The 27,929-nt window shown below is 41.9% G+C and overlaps 1 protein-coding gene and 1 long non-coding RNA gene across 33 annotated transcripts in view, besides 6 other annotated features; one reads left to right on the top strand and one right to left on the bottom strand.

Annotated features, from left to right (window-relative positions):
• Positions 1-19,885, bottom strand: part of STAG2 (STAG2 cohesin complex component) — a 142,097-nt gene extending 122,212 nt beyond the window's left edge. For 5 of the 32 annotated variants that reach the window (NM_001441083.1, NM_001042750.2, NM_001042751.2 and 2 more), the window contains exon 1: positions 18,589-18,739. The gene's annotated coding sequence lies outside the window, so the exon portion shown is untranslated. Of the gene's footprint in view, positions 1-18,198; positions 18,740-19,009; positions 19,134-19,502 lie in introns of those variants that run through there. The other 27 variants (NM_001441081.1, NM_001441079.1, XM_047441776.1 and 24 more) reach the window with 9 other exon arrangements.
• Positions 17,232-17,491: an enhancer, noted in NCBI's record as "active region_29914". NCBI's record gives its function as "activates an Ori minimal core promoter by ATAC-STARR-seq in GM12878 lymphoblastoid cells {active_cell/tissue: GM12878}" and the evidence as "EXISTENCE:reporter gene assay evidence [ECO:0000049][PMID:35858748]".
• Positions 17,582-17,681: an enhancer, noted in NCBI's record as "active region_29913". NCBI's record gives its function as "activates an Ori minimal core promoter by ATAC-STARR-seq in GM12878 lymphoblastoid cells {active_cell/tissue: GM12878}" and the evidence as "EXISTENCE:reporter gene assay evidence [ECO:0000049][PMID:35858748]".
• Positions 18,650-18,789: a silencer, noted in NCBI's record as "silent region_20972". NCBI's record gives its function as "represses an Ori minimal core promoter by ATAC-STARR-seq in GM12878 lymphoblastoid cells {active_cell/tissue: GM12878}" and the evidence as "EXISTENCE:reporter gene assay evidence [ECO:0000049][PMID:35858748]".
• On the top strand, positions 19,104-21,212 carry STAG2-AS1 (STAG2 antisense RNA 1). The gene is made up of 2 exons (NR_130770.1): positions 19,104-19,256; positions 21,040-21,212. It is a non-coding gene; the product is annotated as an STAG2 antisense RNA 1 (long non-coding RNA).
• Positions 19,110-19,159: an enhancer, noted in NCBI's record as "active region_29912". NCBI's record gives its function as "activates an Ori minimal core promoter by ATAC-STARR-seq in GM12878 lymphoblastoid cells {active_cell/tissue: GM12878}" and the evidence as "EXISTENCE:reporter gene assay evidence [ECO:0000049][PMID:35858748]".
• Positions 19,858-20,773: an enhancer, noted in NCBI's record as "H3K27ac hESC enhancer chrX:123093522-123094437 (GRCh37/hg19 assembly coordinates)". NCBI's record gives its function as "activates a minimal SCP1, AML or CMV promoter by ChIP-STARR-seq in naive H9 embryonic stem cells {active_cell/tissue: H9 hESC(naive)}" and the evidence as "EXISTENCE:reporter gene assay evidence [ECO:0000049][PMID:30033119]".
• Positions 20,140-20,329: an enhancer, noted in NCBI's record as "active region_29911". NCBI's record gives its function as "activates an Ori minimal core promoter by ATAC-STARR-seq in GM12878 lymphoblastoid cells {active_cell/tissue: GM12878}" and the evidence as "EXISTENCE:reporter gene assay evidence [ECO:0000049][PMID:35858748]".

Below are 27,929 nucleotides of genomic sequence, written 5' to 3'. Positions count from 1 at the left end.
ATTCTTTTCAAATTTGAGATGCTTATGGATTGTATGCTACATTATCCTAAATTTTCTCCTACCTCTTTGACCACTCTTATCAGTGATCCTACTTCTTCCTCCTGCCAAGTTAAGCATGATGTTTTCACCTCTGACCCTCCGGCTCTTTAATTCTAAGTACCCCCACCAAAAGCCAATGTACACTATGCATAATGATCCCAAAAAAATCTCCTGCTCTTATCTCTGCTGAACCACAGTTACATAATATCAACTTAAGGTTGAAGTATCTAAAATCCAATGTCTCTTTCTCTCCAAAATCAGCTTGCATTTGGATGCAAGAGTACAGTAAAATATTATTACTACTATGTTCCAACTACACACATTATTGCAAGAAATGTTTTGAGAAGCAGAAACAAAAAGGGTATGCATTCCAAGATGTCAGAAAAAACTATGTGCTATCAAAATATTAAATATTAACCAAAACCTAATTATTGAAAGTTTCAGCACAATGCATTTTTAAAATATACACACATATGTATCTATCTAGAAATGTACATATGTATGCTATGTTATCTCCTACTAAGTTATAAATGGCAAAGCTAGGATCCCCCTGTTCAAAGCTAACCCTCTGCTTCACATCAAGCTCTATGCTGTGATCATCACAAATACACTATAAATGGTCACTCAAAGAATCTTTGGGCAAAATGAGGGGTTGCAAGTTAAGTAAGAAGCAGCAGCTTTAAGAGACCTGTACTAATAGATAAAAGGCTCTACAGAACCTAGAAGCTGAGCTGAAGGCATATACTCCTCCTGGAACTCAAGGCAATTCATGAGAATAGGCCTCTAAAAACTACAGGAGACTCAACTGCCTCCCAACCCCCACCCAAAACAGGCCCAAACACCTGCCACAGCATTTCACTTCTAAGGAATGCCCATTTTGGTCTGTTAAATATGAAATTAGTTTACTTCAGGATCAGCTTGCAAATAAGTCCAGTGTATCCCTGGATGCCACATAAACATTAGCTCAACAAATATTAAATACTTACTACACTCCAAGCACTGTTCTAGGTGCTGGGGTTAAAGCAATATAAAGGCGGCTGACAAATATCCTTCCTCTCACTTAACATTCTAGAGTGGGGAAAGAGACAACTCATGTAAATGTATGTTTGATGGTAATATTAAGCAAAATAAACTGAAAAAGGAGGGCTGGCAAAGCAAGGGATATTATTTTAATGAGATGGCCAAGGAACGTTCCACTGAAAGGGTAATATTTGAGCAAAATATCCTAGAGAAATGAGAAACCAAGCCAGGCAGAGGGATCAACAAGTACAAAGGCCGCAAAGTAAAAACCTATTTGAGCAAATTACTGAATTTCTTTAGGTTCAGTTTTCTCATCCATAAAATGGGTATAATATCCCCTATCATGTAATAACTAAAGGTAGTATATTACCTCAAGTATCTGACACATGGAATGTACTCAATAAATGGAATTACTGAGCTATCTGGGGGGCCTACCATGCCAGCAAAACCCTCAGCCTATTATCTGGCACACAGAAAAATCCCAGAAAAAGTACAGGTTGAGTATCCCTTATCCAAAATGCTTGGGACCAAAAGTGTTTCAAACATAAATATTCCAAAATCCAAATATTAATATTGTTTGGATTTGGGATTATTTGTATTATACTTACCAGTTGAGCATCCCATATCCAAAATGTTCCAATGAACATTTCTTTGGAGCATCACGTGGGTGCTTAAAAGGTTTCAGATTTTGGAAGATTTTGGATTTGGGATGCTCAACCTGTATTACTATATAGTCTCTATAAATAACCTATAAGGCAAATGGGATTACACCTATTGTACAGCTGGGGAATCTTGAGGATCAAAGATTTGCCCAATCCTCTGCTATCTCCTAAAATTCCTATAAGGATGCACAAACATACTCCACAATTAAATAGAGGACTTAAAAGTACACTGCCAAGATGAAGAAACCACTCACATTATTGTCCACTGATCAGCAGTATGGTAGTGTAGCATTAAGAACTCAGGAACAGAAAACCAAACACCACATGTTCTCACTTATAAGTGGGAGCTGAATGATGAGAACACATGGACATATGGGGGGAAACAACACACAATGGGGCCTGTGGGAGTGGGGGAAGAGCATCAGGAAGAATAGCTAATGGAAACTGGGCTTAATACCTAGGTGATGGGATGATCTGTGCAGCAAACCACAGGTTTACCTATGTTAACAAACCTGCACATCCTGCACATGTACCTCTCAACTTAAAAGTTAAAAAAAAAAAAAAAAAAAGAACTCAGTAGTGGCCAGGCACGGTGGTTCACGCCTGCAATCCCAACACTTGGGAGGCCAAAGCGGCCAGGTGGCTTGAGCCCACGAGTTCAAAACCAGCCTAAGCAATATGGTTAAGACCCCATCTCTGCAAAAAATATGAAAATAAGCTGGGCTTGGTGGCATGCACCTGTAGTCCCAGTTACTCAGGAGGCTGAGGTAAGAGTACCGCTTGAGCCCAGAAAGTCAAGGCTGCAGTGAGCCATGATAGTGCCACTTGCACTCCACCCTGGGCAACAGAATGAGACCCTATCTCAAAAAAAAAAAAAAAAAAAAAAAAAAACACTTGGGAACCAGATTGCCTGGGTTCACATTAAGGCTCCAACACTTCCTAAGTATGTGTGTGCTTAGAAAAAGTTTAAGCTCACTATGCCTCCGTTTCCTCACACACAAACAGAAAATAATAATAGCATCAACACCTCACAGGCTTGTAGGGAAATTTAAATGGACTAATTTTTCTATTTTTTTTCATTATTTTTAAAGGAAATGTTTCTGAGTCACGAAATGGATTAATTTTTGAAATCACTTCTATTTCAGTGCCTCACAAATAAGGCTGTCTACTGTTAGCAGTAACAGCATAAAAGTAAAATAAGGAAATCGCCATCAAAACATTTCTACTTTTTATGAAGAACTACAGAAACTGTAAAGATACCGGAGGGGGGGAAAAAAAACAGCAGAAAAGGGAGGCTAGTGGAATATGAAAACCAAAACACAAACTGGAATCATAATGCTGCCTGACTTAGACCAGTTTACCTGAACAGATTATTCTTATTAGAATTATTGTTCTTTGGTGGGAACACTACCTATGGAGACAATGCTTTAGATTAACATTTTGTTTCAGTTTATTTTCTATAAAGGTTAATTCCTTAAAATTAATTCAGATGTCACTTTACTCAAGATTAAAACAGTACAGTATAAGAAACTTTATCATCAGTACAGTGTAAGAAACTTTATCATCACTACAGTGTAAGAAACTTTATCATCTCCCTGCCGCTAAGCCTTTTCTAGTTGCTACTTGATGTTTATTATAAAACATGACACATATCACATGCAACTTCAAACATCCATCAGCTCTCAGCTGAAAATAAGCTTTCCTCCTACTTAATCCCCCAAAAGGTTCCTGACCACTATGAGAAGTTTAACTTCCTCCTCTGTCTTTTCCATTTAGAGTTCTTGTATCCTTTATATTCTCTTTCCCCAAAGAAAGTATCACTATGAAATCTATAAATCATCCCACTGGGAGGCAGTGTATCACCATGTAAAGGAGTGTTCTGGAATTAGGCAGAATTGGATTCAAAAAGTAAGCTTGGCCACTTATTAGCTAAGTGATCTTGGGCAAGTCTCTAACAATTCTGAACCTCAGTAAACAACCTCAATAGGGTTGTTGTGAGAAACAAAAAATTAAATGTTAGGGAGCCTAGTACAACTTGTCATATAGTAAGAAGATGCTGTAAGTGGTATCCTGTCGATACAAACTTTATCATTAATGTAAAACCAACTATGGGAAACTATTTTTCTTCCAATATGCAGCTTTTAAATATGAATACCAATAATGCAATTATAATGCAGGTTTACATTTCTTTAAAAAAAAACGAAGGTTTCAATTCAATTACCATTTGAGAACCTGTATAATATATACTGCACAATGAAACAAGGATTCAAAATCAGATGAAAACAGTTCCTAGACTGAAAAGGTTAATCTTGCTATGAGATAAATCTGGATATTTGCCAATATTGTACATTCAAATACTATATATTTATACATATATGCACACACAATTGCCTCCAGTTACAAATCTTTCTTTTTTAAAATTTAATTTCATCTTTTTAAATTTTTTTTTAAGAGAAAAGGTCACTACTGTCACCCAGGTTGGAGTGCAGTGGCACGACCTTGGCTCACTGCAGCCTCAACCTCCTGGGCTCAAGTAATCCTCCCATCTCAGCCTCCCAAGTTGCTGAGATTACAGATGTACACTGCCATGCCTGGCTAATTTTTGAATTTTTGGTAGAGACAGGGTCTCGCTCTGTTGCCCAGGCCGGTCTGGAACTCCTGGGCTCCTACCTCTGCCTCCCAAAGTGTTGGGATTATAGGTGTGAGCCACTGCTCCCGGCAGAAACCTATTTTTCCATAGTAACTTAGAAAACTGCTTCAGTCTAACTTAAAAGGATTAGGAACAAATGTCCTACTATAGGAACTTTTCTAATAAAATCCCATATTGTCCAAATGATCCTTCTGAAATTTTTCAAGTATATTCAGAATACCCAAATATGAATATAACTACTAAATATTCCTCAATGAACAGTAGCACTTTATGCACTGATATTTAATCAAAACTCAAAAAGTACATATTCCGCAGGGCATGGTGGCTCATGCCTGTAATCCCAGCACTTTGGGAGGCCAAGGTGGGCGGATCACCTGAGGTTGGGAGTTCGAGACCAGCCTGACCAACATGGAGAAACCCCCATCTCTACTAAAAGTACAAAATTAGCCGGACATGGTGGCACATGCCTGTAATCCCAGCTAATCAGGAGGCTGAGGCAGGAGAATCGCTTGAACCCAGGAGGCGGAGGTTGCCGGTGAGCTGAGATCACGCCATTGCACTCCAGCCTGGGCAACAAGAGCGAAACTCTGGCTCAAAAAAAAGTACGTATACTCACAACTGGAAAAATCCATTTGTCATTGACAAGTTTGCTTTTCAAAAACATACCTTCATGCTTCTGCTTCTCTGCCAACCATGACTACCACCACTTCCTCAATTCTCCTGCCAGGAGTAAAGTCTGAGGAATGTCTTTTGGACTGAATGAGTGGTGGAAACAGGGAGGGACATATCCCAAAGGAAAAATATTATGGTTTTGCTAATAATATTTCCTACATTTTATCTTCTTCTTTTTAATAGTGTAGAAGGGAAATTCTCAAAGGTTCATTTTCCTATCTTTATATATATACTATTTCTTTAGACTACAAAAAATGCCTCTATTTTAGTAAGAAGATATCAAACATGTTCTTTGTAATAACATTCTAGCCACCATAAAGTTTGCAAATTAGGTACAAGGCAGTAGACACACTGGTGACTGTAAAAATTACCCTTGCTTTTGAAAGGAAAAAAAGATTGGAAATCTAAGGAAAGAGGTTATCATATATCCCAATCCTGAAATGAAAATACTTCAAGTATACCAAACCTCAATCATTTTATATGATGAGTGTGTGGGTGAGTGAATGTAATGAAAATCAAATACTAGGCCGGGTGTGGTGGCTCATGCCTGTAATCCCAGCACTTTGGGAGGCCAAGGCGGGCGGATCACTACATCAGGAGTTCGAGACCAGCCTCACAAATATGGTGAAACCCCATCTGTACTAAAAATACAAAAATTAGCCAGGCGTGGTGGCATGCACCTGTAATCCCAGCTACTCAAGAGGCTGAAGCAGGAGAATCGCCTGAACCCAGGAGGCAGAGGTTGCAGTGAGCCGAGATCACGCCACTGCACTCCAGTCTGGGCGACAGAGCGAGACTCCATCTCAAAAAAAAAAAAAAAAAAAGAAGGTATCAACCTTTGGATAACAGTAACTGCATATATAAGATGATCATGGGGCCAGGCACGGTAGCTCATGCCTGTAATCCCAGCACTTTGGGAGGCCAAGACGGGTGTTATCACTTGAGCTCAGGAGTTCGATACAAGCCTGGCCAACACAGTGAAACCCTTTCTCTATACAAAAATTAGCCAGGCCTGGTGGCGGGTGCCTGTAATCCCAACTACTTGGGAGGCTAAGGCAGGAGAATCACTTGAACTCAGGAGGTGGAGGTTTCAGTAAGCCAAGATTGTGCCACTACACTCCAGCCTGGCCAACAGAGTAAGGCTCCGTCTCAAAAAAAAAAAAAAGAAAAAAGAAAAGAAAAGATGATCATGGGCTCTTTTAACTTTGTTTATTAACAACTGCCAAAGACTGAAGCATTCCAAGGCTACATTAAAGCCCTCGGTTGTTCTGCTTGTTTTCTCAGTTGTTATTTTTCCCTGAAGTTTTTCAGTGCAGCCCTAATTTTTCAGTATGTCACTAATCTCACATTAGGAACACAGTGCCAAAACTGCATTGATGGCTGGTTTTAGCCCAATATTCTTTAATGTAAACCCAATACACGGTATTTTAATAGGTATTTTTTTAACCCTTCTGTAGTGACAAAGTCCAACTGACTATATTCCCCTAAGGGCAGAGACTATGTAATCTAGTTTACCATTGTATATCCCATCTTTCATAGGTACTTTTTTTTTTTTTTGAGAGGGAGTTTCACTCTTGTTGTCCAGGCTGGAGTGCAATGGCGTGATCTCAGCTCACTGCAACCTCCACCTCCCAGGTTCAAGCAATTCTCCTGCCTCAGCCTCCCGAATAGCTGGGACTACAGGCATGCACCACCACACCCAGCTAATTTTGCATTTTTAGTAGAGATGGGGTTTCTCCACATTGCTCAGGCTAGTCTTGAATTCCTGACCTCAGGTGATCTGCCCACCTCAGCCTCCCAAAGTGCTGGGATTACAGGTGTGAGCCACCGCGCCCAGTCTATTTTTTTTTTTTTTTTTTTTGAGACAGAGTCTCACTCTGTTGCCAGGCTGGAGTGCTGTGGCACGATCTCGGCTCACTGCAATCTCAGCCTCCCGGGTTCAAGCAATTCCCCTGCCTCAGCCACCCGAGTAGCTGGGACTACAGGCACGCGCCACCATGCCCGGCTAATTTTTTGTTATTTTAGTAGAGACGGGGTCTCACCGTGTTGGCCAGGATGGTCTCGATCTCCTGACCTCATGATCTGCCTGCCTCAGCCTCCCAAAGTGCTGGGATTACAGGCATGATGAGCTACCGCACCCGGTCCCCCATAAGTACTTTAAATACCAGCTGATTTTAACAATGAGCCCTAGAGAAACTGATGAAATGCATGTATACAGTTTGTACATAATTTGAGAGGGTTCACAAATCTCCATCCCATTCATGGACCCCAGCTTAAAAACCAGCAATATAGTATTTAAAATCCAACTGCATTTTTTTTTTATTTTATTTTACTACTGTTTTTTTTCTCTTTTGAGTGGGGGTCTCACTCTATCACCCAGGCTGGAGTACAATGTCACAATCTCAGCTCACTGCAACCTCCGCCTCCCAGGCTCAAGTGATCCTCCCACCTCTGCCTCCTGAGTAGCTGAGACCACAGGTGAGCGCCACCACGCCAGGCTGATTCGGTTCTTTTTTTTTTTTTTTTTTTTTTTTTGTATTTTTGGTAGAGGGGGGGAGTTTCACCATGTTGCCCAGACTGGTCTTGAACTCCTGAGCTCAAGTGATCCACCAGCCTCAGCCTCCCAAAGTGCTGGGAATACAGGCATGAGCCACCTAGCCCAGCCCATTAATCTTATATAATAAATCAAATCTCCTCAAAATAACCTTTTGTCTCCCGTAGTCACTACACAGGCCACAAATTCCTTCATCTGGTGAGAAATGCAGTCCCCCTTCAAGCTATATCTTGTCTCATAATGGTTTCAATGAACTAAATAAAAGACCTTAAAAATTGGCCGGGCGCGGTGGCTCACGCCTGTAATCCCGGCACTTTGGGAGGCCGAGGCGGGCGGATCACGAGGTCAGGAGATCAAGACCATCCTGGCTAACACGGTGAAACCCCGTCTCTACTAAAAATACAAAAAAATTAGCCGGCCATGGTGGCAGGCGCCTGTAGTCCCAGCTACTCGGGAGGCTGAGGCAGGAGAATGGCGTGAACCCCGGAGGTGGAGCTTGCAGTGAGCTGAGATTGCGCCACTGCACTCCAGCCTGGGCGACTCCACCTCAAAAAAAAAGAAAAAAAAAAAATGATAGTTACACCAACAAAACCTCCAAACGTCAACTAGCTAGAGGGAAAAAAAAAAACACAAATTACTCAATGAACTATTAAAATAGCCAAGTATGAAAACAAAACTGGAAGTCTCCTTAAGATCAGATACTACCATTCACTCCCACTCAAAGGAAAAAAAAAGATCTTAGTTTACAATATAGTTGTTTCCACAACTGTGCCAAAATCATTTCTCCACATTTGAATTCACCAGTAATATTTTTTCAGGTGACAGCACAAGCATAAACAGGCCAGAAATATAAAATAGCTTTAAAAATCACAATAAAAGAGGGATATTTTTTATGAAATGACATATTAATCTCTACAAGACTTAACTCTCAAACTATGCTACAGAATCAGTTTACCTTCAAAAGTCTCTAAACTGGACCTTTTTCTTTCTTTTCTAGTAACACTTCTCCCTAGTCACAAAAGTATTCATCTTCTTTCTACTGTCTTCTCAGTAAAAATTTCTACAATCCACATTTCTGCCTAAGAAAATGGTAAAGGGAACCTGAATAATACATACGGAAAACAAACTCAGATGTCGTTATCTTAGAGTTTTGTTTTAACTTAGGTGGCCCTCAGGAAAGTTGCTTTTCAACATTAAGACAATATAATCACCTCAGTCTAACAGCCACTTGAAAAAAATCCAAGTGGAAATTCTCCTGGATTTTAAAAAACACTATCTTGTCTTTTTACTATTGACCATGTACCAACAAAAACTCCCCCAAAAGGGTAAAAGTAAACAAACTCCCAGAATATGGCAATTTAAAATAATTTAAATCACTTTCATTCCCATAGAAATCTCTACAGGTTTTATTTTATTTTAGAGACAAGAGTCTTGCTCTGTTGCCCAGGCTGGAGTGCAGTGACGCAATCTCAGCTCACTGTAACCTCTACCCCCAGCTTCAGGCAATTCTCCTACCTCAGCCTCCCAAGAAGCTGGGATTACAGGCACATGCCACCACACCTGGCTAATTTTTATATTTTTAGTAGAGACGGGGTTTCACCATATTGGCCAGGCTGGCTCGAACTCCTGACCTCAGGTGGTCCACCTGCCTCGGCCTCCCAAAGTGCTGGGATTACAGGCATGAGCCACCGCGCCCAGCCTCTACAGAGGTTTTAAATCCCTTCTTACCGCTTACTAAGTGGGCAAGTTATTTGGTCTCCCTATGCTTCAGTTTCTTCTGAAAAAGAAGGTATTAATTAGGGTCATCACACATCCTTTCTCTCAAACAGTCCTAGTTTCTGCTATTATCTCAGCATGCCATTCAGTGAGTGCCCCCTTTCACTCACTCTTCCCTTGATCTTAGCCAAAAGGCCAAGAAGCAATCCCTTTCACGTTCAAAAGTATCCTGGCTTGAACAATAAATCATATGGTCATCCTACCTCATAGAGTTACTAAGATAAAGTAAGCTAATACACACAAAGCATTTTTAAGAGTATCTGGCATATGGTAAGAGTTCAGTTAGTATTAGTTCTTGTTCATGTTAGTCACTGTCAGTGACTTTTTATAGATTTTGAACTGTATAATGAACAGTGCTCCCACAATATTCCTTCTTATAAATAAAATGATGCATTTAATGTCCCACATTAAATTCTTTCAAACAACTAAGCAGCACTAACTGCTTGAAATCAACACTAACCAATTTATCCCACAGCAATAGCAGTATCAACAGCATTCACATTGTATCACGAATTTTAATAGAGGCCATATTAGAGTTACTAACAGGAAAGTGACAGTGAAAAGTAAAACTTTATTTAGTGCCAAACCAAGTCCCTTAATATTCTAGCAGCCTTTCTCAACCAGTGTTCCTCATGTTAACTACAGAACTCAGAAAATGACTTGACTACAGAACTCAGAAAATGACTTCAGTGACTATTCCTGAAGTCTCCCAAGAATGATACCTAACTAATATCTTTCTAGATGTGCAGGGGAGAAACTAATTTATAATATACAATGGATGCCTCGGGGAATAATTCTGTCATGGAACACCAGTTCTTGGTTTTCTTGGAATACAAAGGGGGAAATATGGATGAAAAGACTCCTCAATGAACAAAGAGTCTGAGTATAAGACTGCTGTTCATCACCTGGGAAAAAAGTATTTCCTACATGTTAAAGCTTAAAGGAATGATCAATATAAACATATAAATTTGACTCATGGCTATGAAAAGCACAAATATATATATTTTGTTTTCCTTGTCTCCATAAATTTATCTTAGGTCATAAGTCCAACAACCAGAATTCCTTCAGATAAAAAAAACTTCAGTTACAATTAAAAAAAAAAAAAAAAAAAAAAAAAAACAGGAAGACCGGGTGCGGTGGCTCACGCCTGTAATCCCAGCACTTTGTGGGGTGGAGATGGGTGAATCACCTGAGGTCAGGAGTTCGAGACCAGCCTGGCCAACATGGGGAAATCCCGTCTCTACCAAAAATACAAAAAATTAGCCGGGTGTGGTGGTACGCGCCTGTAGTCCCAGCTACTCGGGAGGCTGAGGCGAGGAAATCGCTTGAACCTGGGAGGCGGAGGTTGCAGTGAGCCAATCATGCCACTGCACCACAGCCTGGGCAACAAGCGCGAAACTCCATCTAAAAAAAAAACAGAAAGGAAAAAGAAAACTGAGACTAAGATACCGATCACTAATGAACCTAATAACTTGGGGCCCTGATATTAACTATTTATCACCTGATAACAGTAAGAACAAGAAAACTTAATAGTGAAAGATGAACTAAAATAGGAAGTATAAGCAAACAGGAGATATTAACAGAATAAAAAAGAATTTTTAAGGTACAATTAAATAACAAAAAATACCCCTAAAGAACCAGAGCGCTGAATTATTAAAGATTAGCCTAAACTTTTTACTTCGAATCTAACCACTCAGTAAAACAAGCTGAAGGACTGGGGAACAATTCTCAGACACATGTAATCTCCATTTTAAATAGAGCATAAATGACCTAAAAGAAAAAATATCTATGAAACCATTTCATGTATCACATGATTCCCCCCCCAAAAAATTCAAGAATACAATTCATTATCCCACAAACTTTAATAAGCATATGCAAACAAAACCAATGCTCAGATTTATTTCAACTACTTCTATTACTATTAAAAGACAATATAGACCTCAGGCAGCAACTTATCTGACTCTGGGTAAAAATCTATATTTACCTTGCACTATACATGAAAAAGAATCTTGATTTTGTAAAATTAAAATAAGAATGCATGCTCTCTGATGACAGATAGCCCAAGACCTAAACCAGATAAGGGAAACAACTGAGTTTAACAAAAAAGCACAAAGGTTTTGAGGCCAGGCTAATCTGAGTGTGAATCCATGTGACTTGAGACAAGGCATTTACTCTCTGAGAGCGTCAATTTCCCCACGTGTAAAATGATGAGGACAACCTATCCTGCAAAGTGGTTGAGAAGATTAAACAGAAGATTAAAGCATTACTGGCATTCAGTAGGAACTTAAATAGCAGTTAAATTAAGTTTCTTAGAATGCTTCAGGTTTCAAAAGTTATTCTTGCAAAAATGTAAATAGGACTTGTTTTTCACCCCCCTTGAACGATGTACAACAGAATTTAAACAACTTTTTGAGATAGGGTCTTACTCTTTTGCCCAGGCTGAAGTGCAAAGGCATGATCATGGCTCACTGCAGGCTCAACCTGCTGGGGCTCAAGTGATCCTCCCACCTCAGCCTCCCCAGTAACTGGGGCCACAGGCTGCACAACCATACCCAGCTAATTGTTAAATTTTTTTGTAGAGATGGGGTCTCCCTACGTTGCCCAGGATGGTCTCAAACTCCTGGGCTCAACAGATCTTCCCACCTTGGCCTACCAAAGTGCTGGGATTCAGAGGGTGAGTCACCACGCCCAGCCAACTTATTTCTTACAAAGAAATTTTACCTTTGAATGGTCCCTTAAGTTAGGCAGAGCTTACTGAAATCTCCCTAGTTTGTCTCATCAAGCCTAGTAATGTATTTCCCAATTAAAATACAGTCATGTGCCATATAATGACATTTTAGTCCACAACAGACTGCATATAAGACGGTGGTCCCAGCTGGGTGTAGTGGCTCATGCCTGTAATCCCAGCACTTGGGGAGGCTGAGGCAGGCGGATCACGAGGTCAGGCGTTTGAGACCAGCCTGACCAATATGGTGAAAGCCCGTCTCTACCAAAAATACAAAGATTAGCCGGGTATGGTGGCATGCATCTGTAATCCCAGCTACTTGAGAGGCTAAGGCAGGAGAATCGCTTGAACTCAGGAGGCAGAGGTTGCAGTGAGCCAAGATCTCGCCACTGCACCCCAGCCTGAGCGACAGAGGGAGACTCCATCTAAAAAAAAAAAAAAGACAGTGGTCCCATAAGATTATAAGGGAGCTGCCCTATAGAGGTGTACTATTTTTTCTTTTATACCGTATTTTTATTGTATCTTTTTTGTTTTCAAACACAAATACTTACCACTGTATTATAACTGCCTACGATATTCAGTACAGCAACATGCTGTACAGGATTGTAGCCTAGGAGCAACAGGTCATACCATATGGCATAGATGTATAGTAGGCTATTCCATCTAGGTGTGTGTAGGTACACTGTATGATGCTCACACAACAAAATCACCTAAAGATGCATTTCTCAGAAGGTATGCCCGCCGTTAAGCAATGCATGACTGTAATAAAAAAGAATAGGCCAGCTGGGCGCAGTGGCTCACGCCTGTAATCCCAGAACTTTGGAAGGCCGAGGCAGGCAGATCACCTGAGGTCGGGAGTTCGAGACCAGCCTGACCAACATGGAAAAAACCCCGTCTCTACTAAAAGTACAAAATTAGCCCGGTGTGGTGGCACATGCCTGTAATCCCAGCTACTCGGGAGGCCGAGGCAGGAGAATCGCTTGAACCCAGTAGGTGGAGGTTGCAGTGAGCCAAGATCGCACCATTGCACTCTAGCCTGGGCAACAAGAGCAAAACTCCGTCTCAAAAAAAAAAAAAAAAAAAAAAAAAATACACCATTGACATTATTCATCCTCTCTTTCTTCGGCAGAAGGAATGGAAAACAATTTCAATAATCTCTTCTTGGCCAGGCACGGTGGCTCCGCCTGTAATCCCAGCACTTTGGGAGGCTGTGGTGGGTGGATCACCTGAGGTCAGGAGTTTGAGACCACCCTGACCAACATGGTGAAACTCTGTCTCTACTAAAAACACAAAAAATTAGCTGGGCGTGGTAGCGGACACCTGTAATCCCAGCTACTGGGAGGTTGAGGCAGGAGAATCACTTGAACCCGGGAGGCAAAGGTTGCAGGGAGCCCAAGATCATGCCACTGCACTCCAGCCTGGGCAACAAGAGCAAAACTCCGTCTCAAAAAATAAATAAATCTCTTCTTGACTTACTACAATAACCATATGTAAAGACTTCTTGGTGTCTACTGGTGAGTATCAAAGATCTATAGCAAGCACACATTAAAAACACAATTCAGGTAGCAGATTACCACAGCTGCTGAAGATGCATAGATTTTTAAAAGGCACATCAACAAAAATTAGACTCCACTAAGCAACACCACTTACACTGAAGAAATATAAAATTTGGGTAAATTAAACGTAAAGCAGTCAACTCAAGAGACTGAAAAATCAAACTGATAATTTTGCTTTATCATATATCTTTGCCAATCAGAACACGCAATAACCATCATTTATGATACCCAGAAACATAAAGAATTATTACACAGGGACAGTACTGAAACACGAACTAAAGTCCTGAACATGTAGCCAATGCAGAAAAATGTTAAGAACTTTTTTTTTTTTTAAACGGAGTCTCGCTGTCGCCCAGGCTACAGTGCAGTGGCGCGATCTCAGCTCACTGCAACCTCTGCCTCCCAGGTTCAAGCGATTCTCCTGCCTCAGCCTCCCAAGCAGCTGGGACTACAGACGCGCACCACCACGTCCAGCTAATTTTAGTATTTTTAGTAGAGATGGGGGTTTCACCATGTTGGCCAGGCTGGTCTTGAACTCCTGACCTCATGATCCGCCTGCCTCAGCCTTCCAAAGTGCTAGGATTACAGGCGTGAGCCATGGTGCCCAGCCAAAAACTTTTAAAATAGCCTATGTCTTTAAAGTTCCTTCCTTACTCTCCAACAATCACACTTCAGTATATACTGATGCCCATACCTGAAACTATCCCTCTCCCTCGCTATTCTCCCCAACTCCCAAAACGGTACTCCATTATATAGTAAACTGTACATTTTAGTTTATTTTTAATTTTTTTTTGAGACAGGGTCTTGCTCTGTTGCCCAGGCTGGGTGCAGTGGCGCAATCGTGGCTTACTGCAGCCTCTATGTACCGGGCTCAGGTGATCCTCCTGCCTCAGCCTCCCAAATAGCTGGGACCACAGGTGTGCACCACCACACCTAATTTTTAAATTATCTATAAACATGGGGTCTCCCTATGTTGCCCAGGCTGGTCTTGAACTCCTTGGGCTCAAGTGATCCCCCCACTTCAGCCTCTCAGCCTCCCAAAGTGTTGGTATTACAGGTGTGAGCCACTGTGCCCCGCCGATTTTGGTTTAAGTTCAAAAGTCAACTTGCAGCATCAAAAACTGAAGTCTGCCATCTATTATAAAGAACCCGAAGCAGAAAGATTATGCTATTCTCTGTTTACTACCTTCCCACATATGACTGTGGGTGGTATCAGTTAAACATGCACAATATTAAGCATTACTAAACTGCATATTTTCACATCTAACCCTAAATTCCCAAAGGAATAGATCTGAGCCTTAGCCTGTCCCCCAAGCCCATCCCATTCACTTTAATTCATAAGTCCTCAGGTGACCGCAGAAGTCAATACAGTTGAAAAAGAAATGTAGAATTTGATTTCATGAAAATCTTATTTGAGCATTTGGGCTTTAAAAAATCCTAACTAAATATACTTGAAAGTTACCAAACTCATCATGTGTTAGTGTAGTAGTTTAGCTATTGCCTCACCACAATAAAATAAATCTGATGCCACAATCCTTACCATCTACTAAGAATATTTGTATATGAATAAAAATTTGAAATATGTCACCTATTTTCCTTTAACATCCTTCTAAAGCTAAAATCCTGAATATGAAATACACAAACAGACTAATGGTAACAGTTACAAAATGTCTGTTCCCAGATTGGGGTGAAATTTTGCTATAAATTAAATATCCATTGTTTTGGATTCCTTTCGGAACTGTGACATGTATTTTTAAAATGTATCTCCTGGGGGAAAAAAATAAACCTGACACTGAACAGTATAGAACTGCCAAAAAAAAAAAAAAAAAAGGCACTTACCTTAATAGAATTTAGGAGCAGTTCACAAATGCACTAATTAAGGGAGACCAAGGATTGTCATTGCAACACATTTTTACTGTTTACGGGTAATGGTCAGAATGTTAACAGACAATATTGAAATATTTTACATATCAACTTCTAACTAGTTATAGCACCAGATCCTTGGGGCATGAGGTGATTTAAACCATTTTAAATGTAAACACTCATTTTCTTATCAGTTAAAAAAAAAAAAACCCACTCCACCCTCTCTGCCAGTCTCTGATACACCTTAGAATACTATAGTTACTTCACAGTGGGAAGGAATAGCTAATAAGTACATTTCTTTTCCAACCCACTTCTCTACCTAGTCATTAAACACCAAATTCTGAAACTGAATTCAGCTACCTAGATCTTTCTACCAGGAATGCTCCCTATGGTACCTCAATCCCTTCCACTGTCACTTACTGCAACTGCCAAAGCCCCTCCTATTAATAGTAAATCCCTTTCATACTGACTCACTGTAACTCCAACTTGATGAAATAGACACTAAGCAGAATTTACAAAAATTGCAAATGGAATTTTCCTGTTTTCAAAGAATTAAAAAGGAAACTAAAAGTAGAGCACATTCAGGCTAAGTTATAAACATTTAAAGTTCAACCAATTTATAAGTATTTATGTTGCCTGTTTTATACTAGTTCCCGTTTAAACGTTTTTTTTTTTTTGAAAGTTTTGCCAAGCATTGTGTAATCACTTACACAAGGCTAAATTTCCTATGCAAGTAATTTTGACATGTAAATATAAACTTAAGTCATTACCCCCAAGACTGTAAGACAATCTGGAAATTCTACTGCAAAAAAAGTTTATCTTAAACTATGGAAATGTTTAACAGCACGCACAAAAGTAGAGAGAATAATAGTAACAATGAGCGCTTCTGTATTCATCCAGCTACAATAATCAACTCAAGGCCACTTCTGCTTCACACCTACCTCCTACCCACTCCCTCCTCTCATTATTATCTTCAAAAAGAATTAAGAGGAAGATACTATGTTCTCTAAGTACACTTCTACCCAAAGATAGCAAAAGTATCAAAAACTAGCATGTTAAGTCAAAATCCAACAATGTAACTATACAGCCGCCTTACGCCTTACACAATTCTTTGGTAGGTGATAAATTTAAGAATTCAGTTAAACACAAAGATATAACCATCTTTAAGAATTTTAATGAAGTCCATAAACCCAAAGGGCATATTTAAAATTATACCTAAAAAGACAAATAGGGAAATGTGATGAAAACGAACTTAAACATCTGCAATTAACTTACTTAACGTGGCACCTTAGTTCAAAATGAAAAAAAAAAATCGACTATTTAACATAATGTGTCATAAAACTGCAATTCAACCACTTGAAAAACTGCTGAACACTTATATACCTTAAACTGGTCCTTCTGATCCCTAATTATAGATTGATATCAATGTAGAAAGAAAACCAGGCATTTTAACGTTAAGTGGTTGAAAATGTTGAAAATTAACCCCACTGTTCATCGGAAAGTATATGAGAGCAAGCCTAAACTACCTGAATTATATGTCATTAAACAAATGCATCCACTTCCCAGAGCCTTTTTTTTAACAAAATAAGTTCAGATATACCCTTAAACGCAACGCGCTAGGCTACAGACAGAATTAGGAGACCGCCTCCTGCTTTTGCTCCTAACCAATACGCAGAGAGAGAAGGTTGGCAGAAAAGTGCTGCGAGGACAGTAACAAACACCAGCAGCTCCCGAGCAGGCCCTGCTAGAGCCAGGAATGACGCACTTCGGTAACCCGACTCTTTCTCCCCTCCACCCCCGCCCCCAGCAGCGGTGCTGACACCGCCAACAGCCCGGAGTAGGAAAAAAGACAACAGAAAAAAAGGCAGAGGTTGGACCGCACTAGGTTTCATCAAGAAACCTCGATGATTCCTCTTTCGACACTAACCACTAGGACTAAACAGGAAAAGAAGCTTCGTGCTTAAGCAAGTCCCATCATGGTGGTTTAAGAGTCACTAAATTAAGCTGATAATGAGTCCAATCCACAGAGACAAATACAGGGTGTGGCTGCTGCGAAATACGGCGGTCCGTGGGAGAAAAGGGGTATGGAATTTACACTCCAGTGTGAAGGGAAGATGGGGCTTTATGGTGGGAGAAGGGGGTGGCCCGCGCATTTTAAGGAACCATTGCAAACCAACACAAGCGCCTCGTTTACTTTAAATCTAACCTTACAGATCAAAAGTTTCCAATAGATATATCATGTAAACTGTAAATTACCATTTAATCCAACACCATGGCCCTCAATTTAAAAACTACATCCAAGAGAAAGAAGGAGGGAGAGGGAAGAGGGGTGGTAGGCAACAACATAAAAAACATTCTAGGCCACGGAAGAGAAAGTCTCACAAACCGGATGAAACTACTAATACAATATTAAAAATTAAAGCCGAGCACTGAAGCACGAAAATCACACGATAACCCATTACAGTTAAGGATTAAAAATAAAATGACATATGCACCAAGGGGGAGCGGAAACTAAATGTCGAAAGTACAGCGGTTTATAAAAAACTAAAGGCAAAACAAGACATTCTCGCGACGGGGGGAAAAAAAGGCCGAAATCAACAATACGTTCACAATTCTAGGCCAAAAGAAAATGGGAACGGGGCTCAAAGTTTTGCGGAACTACTTGATGCTGTTTCCCACACCTTCTCTCTCCCACGGCCCATCCGACCCTTTTCGTCCCAAAATCGCCGTCCGCAGATCTCCGGATCCAGGGGAGAAGAAAAAAGAAAGTCGACCCCGAGCAAGAATAAAAGTGTGGAGTGAAAACGCACAGGCTGCCTACCTGGGGCAAGGATCAGCTCAGTTCGTGCCTTGAGAAAGACAGTGCGGGTGGGGGTGGGAATGAAAAGCAGCACTAAAACTAAAACAAAAGTGGCGCCAAAACCCCCCAACAAACAGCCTTCCACTCCCGCCCTTCCCCCCTCCGCCCATGCCAGGCAGGCAGGGCCCCCTTCGGGGCAAGGTCTGCGCGCGGGGGCCAACACCGCCAGACCCCAGCCAATTTAGAAAATTGTTGCCCGAAGAAAACTGACCGAAGTCGGGCCTCGGAAGGGATGGAGAGATCGATGCCAATCGCCTTCCCCAGCAGTTCCCCCACCACGCGCTGGAGATGATGGGGCGGGGGAGAAGCAGAGGGGCCCGTCACATGAATGTTGTTCCCTCTCTAGGAAGGGAGGAAGAGAGGGAGGGAGGGGGGAGGGAGGGAAGGGAGGAGGGGAAGGGAGAAGGGAGGGGGCACGAGGGAGGGGTGTGATCAGAGTAGATTTTCCCTCGCCTCCCTCGGTCCGAGGCCCAAATATACACAACTGAGCCTCCTTTCTCCCCTCCCCCCTAGGTTCCCAGCACCACCATTTTGCTCTCTGCCTTCCCCTCACCGCGACACCGCGCTCTCCCCCACCCCAACCACAGCCTCCCGGCTTTCCTCCCCCGACTACGGCTCGCACCCCACCCCACCTCCAGTTCGGGCTCTCCTAGGCTTAGGAGCCTGCCGGAGAAAAGGAACCTAAATCTACTGCTACACAGAGAAGCGGAGCCTCCATCTTGCGCTGCTCCGCGTTCTCCATTTTGGGCCACCCATGGGGGGGGGGGGTCTCCGTAGAGGCCCCGAGGGAGAGTTGGGCGAGGGAAGGAAGAGAAAATCTTCAGCGAGGGTAGTCGAAAAGAAGAGCCCTGCGGTAGAAAGCCACTCTAGGAGTAGGAGGTAGGGAGGAAGGGGGGCTGGAAGTTCCTTGGAAGTGTTGGGGTAGCGACTTGGGGGGAGAAGGGAGAAAGGAGGGCGGGGGGCGCCGCGGGGGCGAGAAAGATCCTCCCGCCTGGACTCTGCCCCCCGTTCCATGGCTGCCCCCCATGGGGGCGAAGAAAGCAGAGGGGAAATTCAATGGCAACAGAGTGCCCAACCTCTTTCCCTCCCAACTCCTCTCTCTCGCCCTGTTTCAATCATACACACCTCACGGTGGGCCAAGCGCCCTCCGGGTGCCCCTCCAAACTTCTAGAAGCTTCGCCTCCGCCATTTTATAACTTACCTCCCCCCTCAGCGTACACAGAGGCAGCAACGAGACTGTTCGCCTCCCCCACTCCTCCTTCTTTCTCAGGCCGGGGGCTTCTTCACCCCTGGGCTGGTACAAGATATTTTTCCCCTTCCTCTTCTTTACACCCTCGAATTCTACTCAGGGACGGAAGCTCCCGCGGTTCTAGAGCGGTGGGGGGTTTTGAAAGTGGCGGTCGGATCCGGCGGGGTTTTTTTTCTTTTTTTTTTTTTTTTTTTTTTTTTTTTTTTTTTTTTTTTTGGTGGCGCTTCGGGATTGTTTGGGGTGTTCGCTCTTCGGCGACTTGGAGGCGAATGGAACGCGCAGGCGCCATCTGTCGGCCACGAACCCGCGCCCGGCTCCCGTTGGGAGGGAGCGGCATCTAGCGGCAGAGAGTTGCCACTGCAACGCCTGGCTCCCAGCCCTCCCACCCAGCGTCCTCCTCCCAGTCACCGACCAATCGTGGCCGACTGACTCCCGGGTTCAGCGTCTCCGACGCCGCCCGCAAACCAGGCGCCCGCAGGGGCGCGCCGCCGAGTGGGGTAAACAAGGTGCCGTGCCCGCGCCTGACTTACTCATTCGTTTGGCCGCGCTTCCGCCGCGGACCCGATCGAGCCGCGGTTCTTCTGTCTTTAGTGGGGTGTCGAGGGGAGGGCGGTAGGAATGTCCGGCGGAGCCCTGGGCCGTGGGAATCCAGAGGCTGGCTGGGTTCGCTCCGGGACTCGTTCCCCGGGCCCCTCCGCCCCTCGCGAGGCGCTAAGGTGGCAGCCCAGTCGGGCATCACCCTTCGAAGTCCCCTCTTCTGACACACCCCTGTGAGGGGCCTGTGGCCCTAGTTCCCGTACCTTCGATGCCCCCTTGTCCCTACCCCTTCCCACCAAAAGAACCCAAGTCGCTTAACTCTGGCACCTGATCCTAAATGGTTTAATGGAGCTACTTGGGCTAGATCGGGGGCGGAATACGGGTTGGTTTTGTTTTGCTTTTTGCTTCGGGTGTGGAGAGAGAGCGAGCTGATTCTCTACCAGTAAGACCTAGCCCTGGAAAAGAAAGAAAAATTGTTTTGCTTTACAGCCCACTGGTCCCGTCTCCGAGAAAACGTGGTCTGTATCTCCAGGTTCTAGGAGTCCTAAAGAACTGGACTACTAGGCTAGGCCGGGCGCTCGACCAATTTGTTCGCCACTCTCGGGGCGGGGGAAGAGATAGGACCGAGCGAAGTGGAGGGAAATCGAAATTTGGGCAAAAGGAGTGGAGGGGGACCTACCCCGCCTCCCCCGCGCATCCACTGCCTTCCTGGGCGGGTGCAACCACGCGAAATGGTTGGGAATTTAGGTTACTTCGCATCCTGCCTTCCCATCCCTCCCCCAAGATGTTTGAAGTGCGAAAAGACCCTTTCTGCTCCTCCGACCCCTGTTAACTAAAATCTTTGTCACCCTTTTTTTTTGTTTGTTTCGAATCCAGTGTATTGGACCTTTGACCGCCAAGAGCTCTTTACTCGGGGGAGAAAAACTCGAGGAGGGCCTATCCCCTCCAAAGCGCCGCTTTTTCCTTGGACAGGAAGAAGTGACCTATTGCAGTGTCTCCATTGCTGTTATAGAAGTTCGTAGATTCATAAAATAGTGTTTGCTTAAGAAGTCTTCGTTTCTGTTCCATTTTTGAAATTTTGGTTAAAATATTTCTTAAATATTAAATTACATTTCAATTAGAAGAAAAGAAATAAAACGTATTAATAACAAAACAAATTTTCCAACTGAGAAATAGGGTGAGCCCCGTGTAAATCATGAAGCTTTCACCCCGATATCACTTCTGAAACATTCCTAATGTAATATAACGATTATTTTCAGTCCTTAAATTATATTCCTTCCATATCTCTTGTTAGTTTCTCTCCCATCCTCTGTGCTTATTGTTTTTTCTGCAACTTTACAAAAAGAGTTATAGTATATTTAATCAACTGGACAATAAAAGTTAAACAGAAACATCTGAATATCAATAACAAGAAGTAAAATCTGAGACATTTTTACTTACCTCTAAAGCTCTGGAGAGTGGAATACTATTCAAAATAAATTTCCATTTCTTTTATAGACCATCTTTGGTAGAATGCTATACAGTTTTTAATAGATTCAAGTTACAGAATGATGCAGCTAGAACATTAAATAGAGAGTAGTGGAAAATTTACAGAGTTATATAAGTTAATGCAAAATTCCACTTGAAGTAATAGAAAAATTGGGCCGTGTACCAAGTCATTTTTACATTAATTTAGTTCAATTGTGCCAATTTAATCTCAATTGATATTAAATGATTTCCTGTCTTAGTATTAGCTGAAAACTACTGATTTTCTGCTCCAAACATCACATTTATGGTACATGGTACAAATAGTTTTTTATCTATTTTATAAATTTGTATTCTCAGTTAATTATCTATGTAGCAACTGAGATTTTAAACAATTTTATGCTTAGAACAAAACTGAAAAGTTCTTCTGTTTAGCAAATTAGCTCTGATTTTGTGAAAAATACCACTGAAGATTAATAACAAACTGGTATAACATCAGAAATAAATGTTGTAGCAAATTTTTACTAATATTTAAGAATATTTTACAGTAACCATTTTTTTTGTTAGAGCTCTTTCAAAAAAATACTTATCAAGACTTCAATATGTACAGAATGCTAGGTGCCCCAGTCCTATCATAAGAAGTGGAGTTTATTTCATGGGGTACTGAAAAATATAAACAATTCACCCTTTGAATGTGAGGACAAAGGGAGAAAATGCCATCAAACGAAATATGAAATAATGAAAAATGAAATAACTGATGGAAAATAATTTTAATCTTGTTTGTAACATGTCCTTTATGAGATAATATTGTAAAGGCAGAAGCTTTGGGTGCCTAATAAGAAATAGTGAAAAAGGAGAGTTGAATAGTTAAAACTTACAAACCTCTGATACTATATAAAAGGCAAGACACTATTTGATGCAGAAATGTTCTGGTCACAAGAAATTCATATGCCACAGTACAACAAAGATAATCCTCCAGGTTTACCATAGACGGACTAAAACATCCCACAGATCTCTTTGCTTTAACTCCATGCAAATGGAACAGACTTCTGATTATAAATTAGGTTTTCCAGATAGTCTTCTCCTCTGGACAGCATATATATATATTTTATATTTTATTTTATTTTCTTTTTTTTTTTTTTTTTTGAGACAAACTCTCGCTCTGTCACCCAAGCTGGAGTGCAGTGGTGCGATCTCAGCTCACTGCAACCTCCACCTCCAGGGTTCAAGCGATTCTCCTGCCTCAGCCTCCTGAGTAAGCTGGGATCACAGGCAAGCGCCACCACGCCCAGCTAATTTTTGTATTTTTAGTAGAGATGGAGTTTCTCCATGTTGGTCAGGCTGGTCTTCAACTCCCGACCACACGTGATCCGCCCGCCTGGCCTCCCAAAGGGCTGGGATTATAGGCGTGAGCCACCGCGCCAGCCCATTTTTTATATTTTTAAACACCATTCTAAACATAAAACCCAGAAACCTAAAAGTAGATAAATAAATTTAAGTCCACAGAAATTAAAAAATTATGTATACCAAGACACCAGAAACAAAGTCAAAAGATAAACTAGAAACTGTGAGAAAATGTTTGCTATATGGATGAAAAAAGCTAATTTCTTCAAGATACGGAGAACTGTCAAAATCAATATGGTAAAATTTAAAACTCCAGTAGAAAAGTGGACAAAGAATATAGTCTACTTGTGGGAGAAGAAATACAGATGGCTAGGCCGGGCGCGGTGGCTCACGCCTGTAATCCCAGTACTTTGGGAGGCCGAGGCGGGCGGATCACAAGGTCAGGAGATCGAGACCATCCTGGCTAACACAAGGAAACTCCGTCTCTACTAAAAATACAAAAAATTAGATGGTCATGGTGGCACACACCTGTAGTCCCACCTACTTAGGAGGCTGAGGCAGAAGAATCGCTTGAACCCAGGAGGCGGAGGTTGCAGTGAGCCGAGATAGTGTCACTGCACTCCAGCCTGGGCGACAGAGCGAGAATCCTTCTCAAAAATAAAAAAAAGAAAAAAAAGAAATAAGAAATACAGATGGCTAATACATACATAAAATAGTGCTCAACTTCATTTGCCACTAAGAAATGCAAGTTAAGGCCGGGCGCAGTGGCTCACGCCTGTAATCCCAGCACTTTGGGAGGCCGAGGCGGGCAGATCACTCGAGACCATCCTGGCCAATATGGTGAAACCCCGTCTCTACTAAAAATACAAAAATTAGCTGAGCGTGGTAGCTCACCTGTAGTCCCAGCTACTCAGGAGGCTGAGGCACGAGAATCTCTTGAACCCAGGAAGCAGAGGTTGCACTGAGCTTAAATCGTGTCACTGCACTCCAGCCGGGCGAAAGAGCGAGACTCTGTCTCAAAAAAATAATAAAATAAAATAAATGCAAATTAAATACAAACTCTCCTACCAGATTGCCAGAGATTTAAAATGTTGATAATACTTAGTGTTGGTAAAGAACTGAGAACTCTCATATATCATTGAGGGGAGAGTAAATTTTAAAAAAAAACTGAAAAATAAAAATTTTTAAAAGGTCGGATGCAGTGGCTCACATCTGCAATTCTAACACTGGAAGGCCAAGGCAGGAGAATCACTTGAGCCCAGGAGTTTGAGACCAGCCTGGGCAACATAGCAAAACCCCATCTCTACAAAAATTTTAAAAACTGGAGAAAAAGTTGAAAGTATCTCGGAGCAGTTAAATGTAAAATCGATCTAGCAATTCCATTTCTAGGAGTTTACCATACAGATATGCTCATACAAATTATAAAGAAATATATATAGAAAGATTTTCATTATAGCTTTGTAATAGAAACTGACAACAATAGAAATGGTCATCATCAGGGGACTGAGTAAAGAAATTATAATACATCCATACAATAGATACATTGGATAATGGTGGGCATACAATAGTCCTATGCCCACCATTAAAACAAGTATATATTTATTAATATTGCAAATATGGGCCGGGCGCGGTGGCTCACACCTGTAATCCCAGCACTTTCGGAGGCCGAGGTGGGTGGATCACGAGGTCAGGAGATCGAGACCATCCTGGCTAACACGGTGAAACCCTGTCTCTACTAAAAATACAAAAAAATTAGCCGGGCGTGGTGGCGGGCGCCTGTAGTCCCGGCTACTCGGGAGGCTGAGGCAGGAGAATGGCGTGAGTGAACCCGGGAGGCAGAGCTTGCAGTCAGCCGAGATCATGCCACTGCACTCCAGCCTGGGCAACAGAGCGAGACTCTGTCTCAAAAAAAAAAAAAAATATGTCTAAGTTATGAGAAAAAATCAAGTTGCAATTACCTGTATACTGTGATCACATTTTGGAATATATATATATTTATATACACATGTATTTGCTTGCATATGCATAAAACATTTTTTTGATAGAGACGGCATCTCACTATGTTGCCCAGGCTGGTTACAAACTCCTGATCTCAAGAAATTCTCCTGCCTTAGCCTCCCAAAGTTCTGGGATTACAGTCATGGGCCACCACGCCCAGCCAAAACATTCTTGAATATACAGGAAACCTAACAACAGTTACTACTCAGGAAAGAGGCAGTACAGTTCCATGACTTGTCATTTTACTTTTCGTTTTATATATTTCCACCTTATTTTATTCTTTTTTTTTTTTTTTTTACAGTGAGCATGTATTACTTATGGAAGTTTTAAGATCTTATACTGGTTGCCCCAGAAAACAGTTTGGCACTTTCCTACAAAGTTAAATACATACTTACCATCTGACCCAGCAATCTCATTCCTGAGCATTTATCCCAAAGAAATTAAAATTTATGTTTACACAAAAACCTGCACACAAGTACTTATAGCAGCTTTTATTTGTGATAGCCAAAAACAGAAAACAACCAAAATATCTATCACCTGGTGAATGGTTAAGCAAACTGGTTCCATCAGGGAATGGAATACTATTCAGCAATAAAAAGAAACTATTGGCCAGGCACGGTGGCTCATGCCTGTAATCCTCGCACTTTGGGAGGCCACGGCAGTTGGATCACCCTAGGTCAGGAGTTCAAGACCACCCTGGCCAACATAGTGAAACCCCGTCTCTATTAAAAATACAAAAATTAGCCAGGCATGGTGGCAGGCACCTGTAGTCCCAGTTACTCGGGAGGCTGAGATGGGAGAATTGCTTAAACCCAGGAAGCGGAGGTTGCAGTGAGCCGAGATTGTGCCACTTCACTCCAGCCTGGACGACAAGAGCGAAACTCTGTCTCAAAAAAAATAAAAATAAAAATAAACTTAATACATACAAAAAACTTACATGGATCTGAAGGGCATTATGCTTAGTGGGAAAAAAATCAGAGTTACAATGATTCCATTATATGATATTATCAAAATGAAAAATTATAGTTATGGAGGACAGATCAGTGGTTGGCAAGGATTAGGGTTGGGAAAAGACTGAGTATTAAGGGGTAACACGAGAGATTTTTTTGTGGTGATGGAACAATTGTGCATCCTGATTTTGGTGATGGTTACTCAAATCTACAGGTGATAAAATTTTAGAGAACTACAAATACACACACATAAGTACATGAAAAAACCTGGTGAAATCCAAATAAGGTCTGCACTTGAGTTGATAGTGTTGTATCGATTGTCAATTTCCTGGATTTGACAAGGTGCTATTGGGGCAAAGCTTTGTGAAGGGTACGTGGGAATTCTGTCTACTATTTTTGCTACTTCTTGTAGCAAACTAAACTATTTCAAAATAAAATAGTCCTAAACTATTTCAAAATAAAAAGTTGTAATAAAAAATTTAACACTGGGGCTGGGCATGGTGGCTCATGCCAGTAATTCCAACACTTTGGGAGGCTGAGGTGAGAGGATCATTTGAGTCCAGGAGTTTGAGACTAGCCAGGCGCGGTAGCATGCTCCTGTAGTCCCAGCTGTTCTGGAGGCTGAGGTGGGAGGCTGGTTTGAGCCCTGGAGGTGGAGGATCGCTTGAAGTCAAGGCTGCAGTGAGCCGAGATTGCAGTACTGCACTCCGGCCTGGAAGACAGAGTGAGACCCTATCTCAAAAAAAAAAAAAAAAAAGAAAAGAAAAAAAAATGACAGTGGTAATAACTGAAAAAATTCTCTGGTTAGTGGAAAGATAATTACTCTATTGCAAATTAATAAATTGAATTTCTGGTTTACAAATCAGCTTTTTGTAAACTTGGATATAATGACTTAATTTCCAAGATCCTTATCATTACCCCTGTGTGAACTTACATGATTAAGGGCTTGATGCTGCAATACTTAGAAATAGACCTTGGACCTGTGGCGTTAACAGGAAATAGACATACCAATAAGCCTTGTCTAAAACAAATAACTGGCACCTTTTAAGACATCTTAAATACCCTGTTACTAGATTTGCTGATTTTTTTTTACTTTGAATGATATGCAATGTTCCCAGTATGAGTTAATGGAACCAAAGCTCTATCTTTTTTTGTTGTTGTTTTTGTTTTTTTTTTTGAAACGGAGTCTCACTTTGTCGCCCAGGCTGGAGTGCAGTGGCGTGATCTCGACTCATTGCAGGCTCCGCCTCCCGGATTCATGCCATTCTCCTGCCTCAGCCTCCCAAGTAGCTGGGACTACAGGCGCCTGCCACCACGCCTGGCTAATTTTTTTTTTAATTTTTTTTTTAATGTATTTTTAGTAGAGACAGGGTTTCACCATGTTAGCCAGCCAAAGCTCTATTTTTTTTTTTTTTTTTTTGAGACGAGTCTCGCTCTGTCGCCCAGGCTGGAGTGCAGTGGCGCGATCTCAGCTCACTGCAACCTCCACCTCCCGGATTCAAGCAGTTCTCTGCCTCAGCCTCCCGAGTGGCTGGGATTACAGGCGCCCACCATCACGCCCGGCTAATTTTTTTGTATTTTTAGTAGAGACGGGGTTTCGCCATCTTGGTCAGGCTGGTCTTGAACTCCTGACCTTGTGATCCACCCACCTCGGCCTCCCAAAGTGCTGGGATTACAGGCATGAGCCACCGCGCCCGGCCCGCTCTATCTTTTTACAAAAGATTCTATCTCTCACATCTAACCCCTTCCACTTCTCATCTAACTACAGTAATAGTCCCATGTCCGGTTTCTTTCACATCCAATCCAATCCTGATTAGATTACTTCCTTATTTTTGTGCATGCTTACTAGCTCTCTTACTTTCTTGCTTACTCTGGCTCATTCATTTACATGCTCTTTTTTCTTTTTTTTTTAACTTAGTGACCAATGTACATACTCTCTTATTGTCTTAGTTGGCCTACAACAATGCTCCTCTAACACTAATGTGCATAAGAATCACCTAAGGATCTTGC

This window comes from Homo sapiens, chromosome X (genome assembly GCF_000001405.40).
Source record: "Homo sapiens chromosome X, GRCh38.p14 Primary Assembly".
NCBI classification, from domain to species: Eukaryota; Metazoa; Chordata; class Mammalia; order Primates; family Hominidae; genus Homo; species Homo sapiens.
Note: the sequence above shows the minus strand (reverse complement) of the source record. Positions and strands in the feature narration are given on the sequence as shown.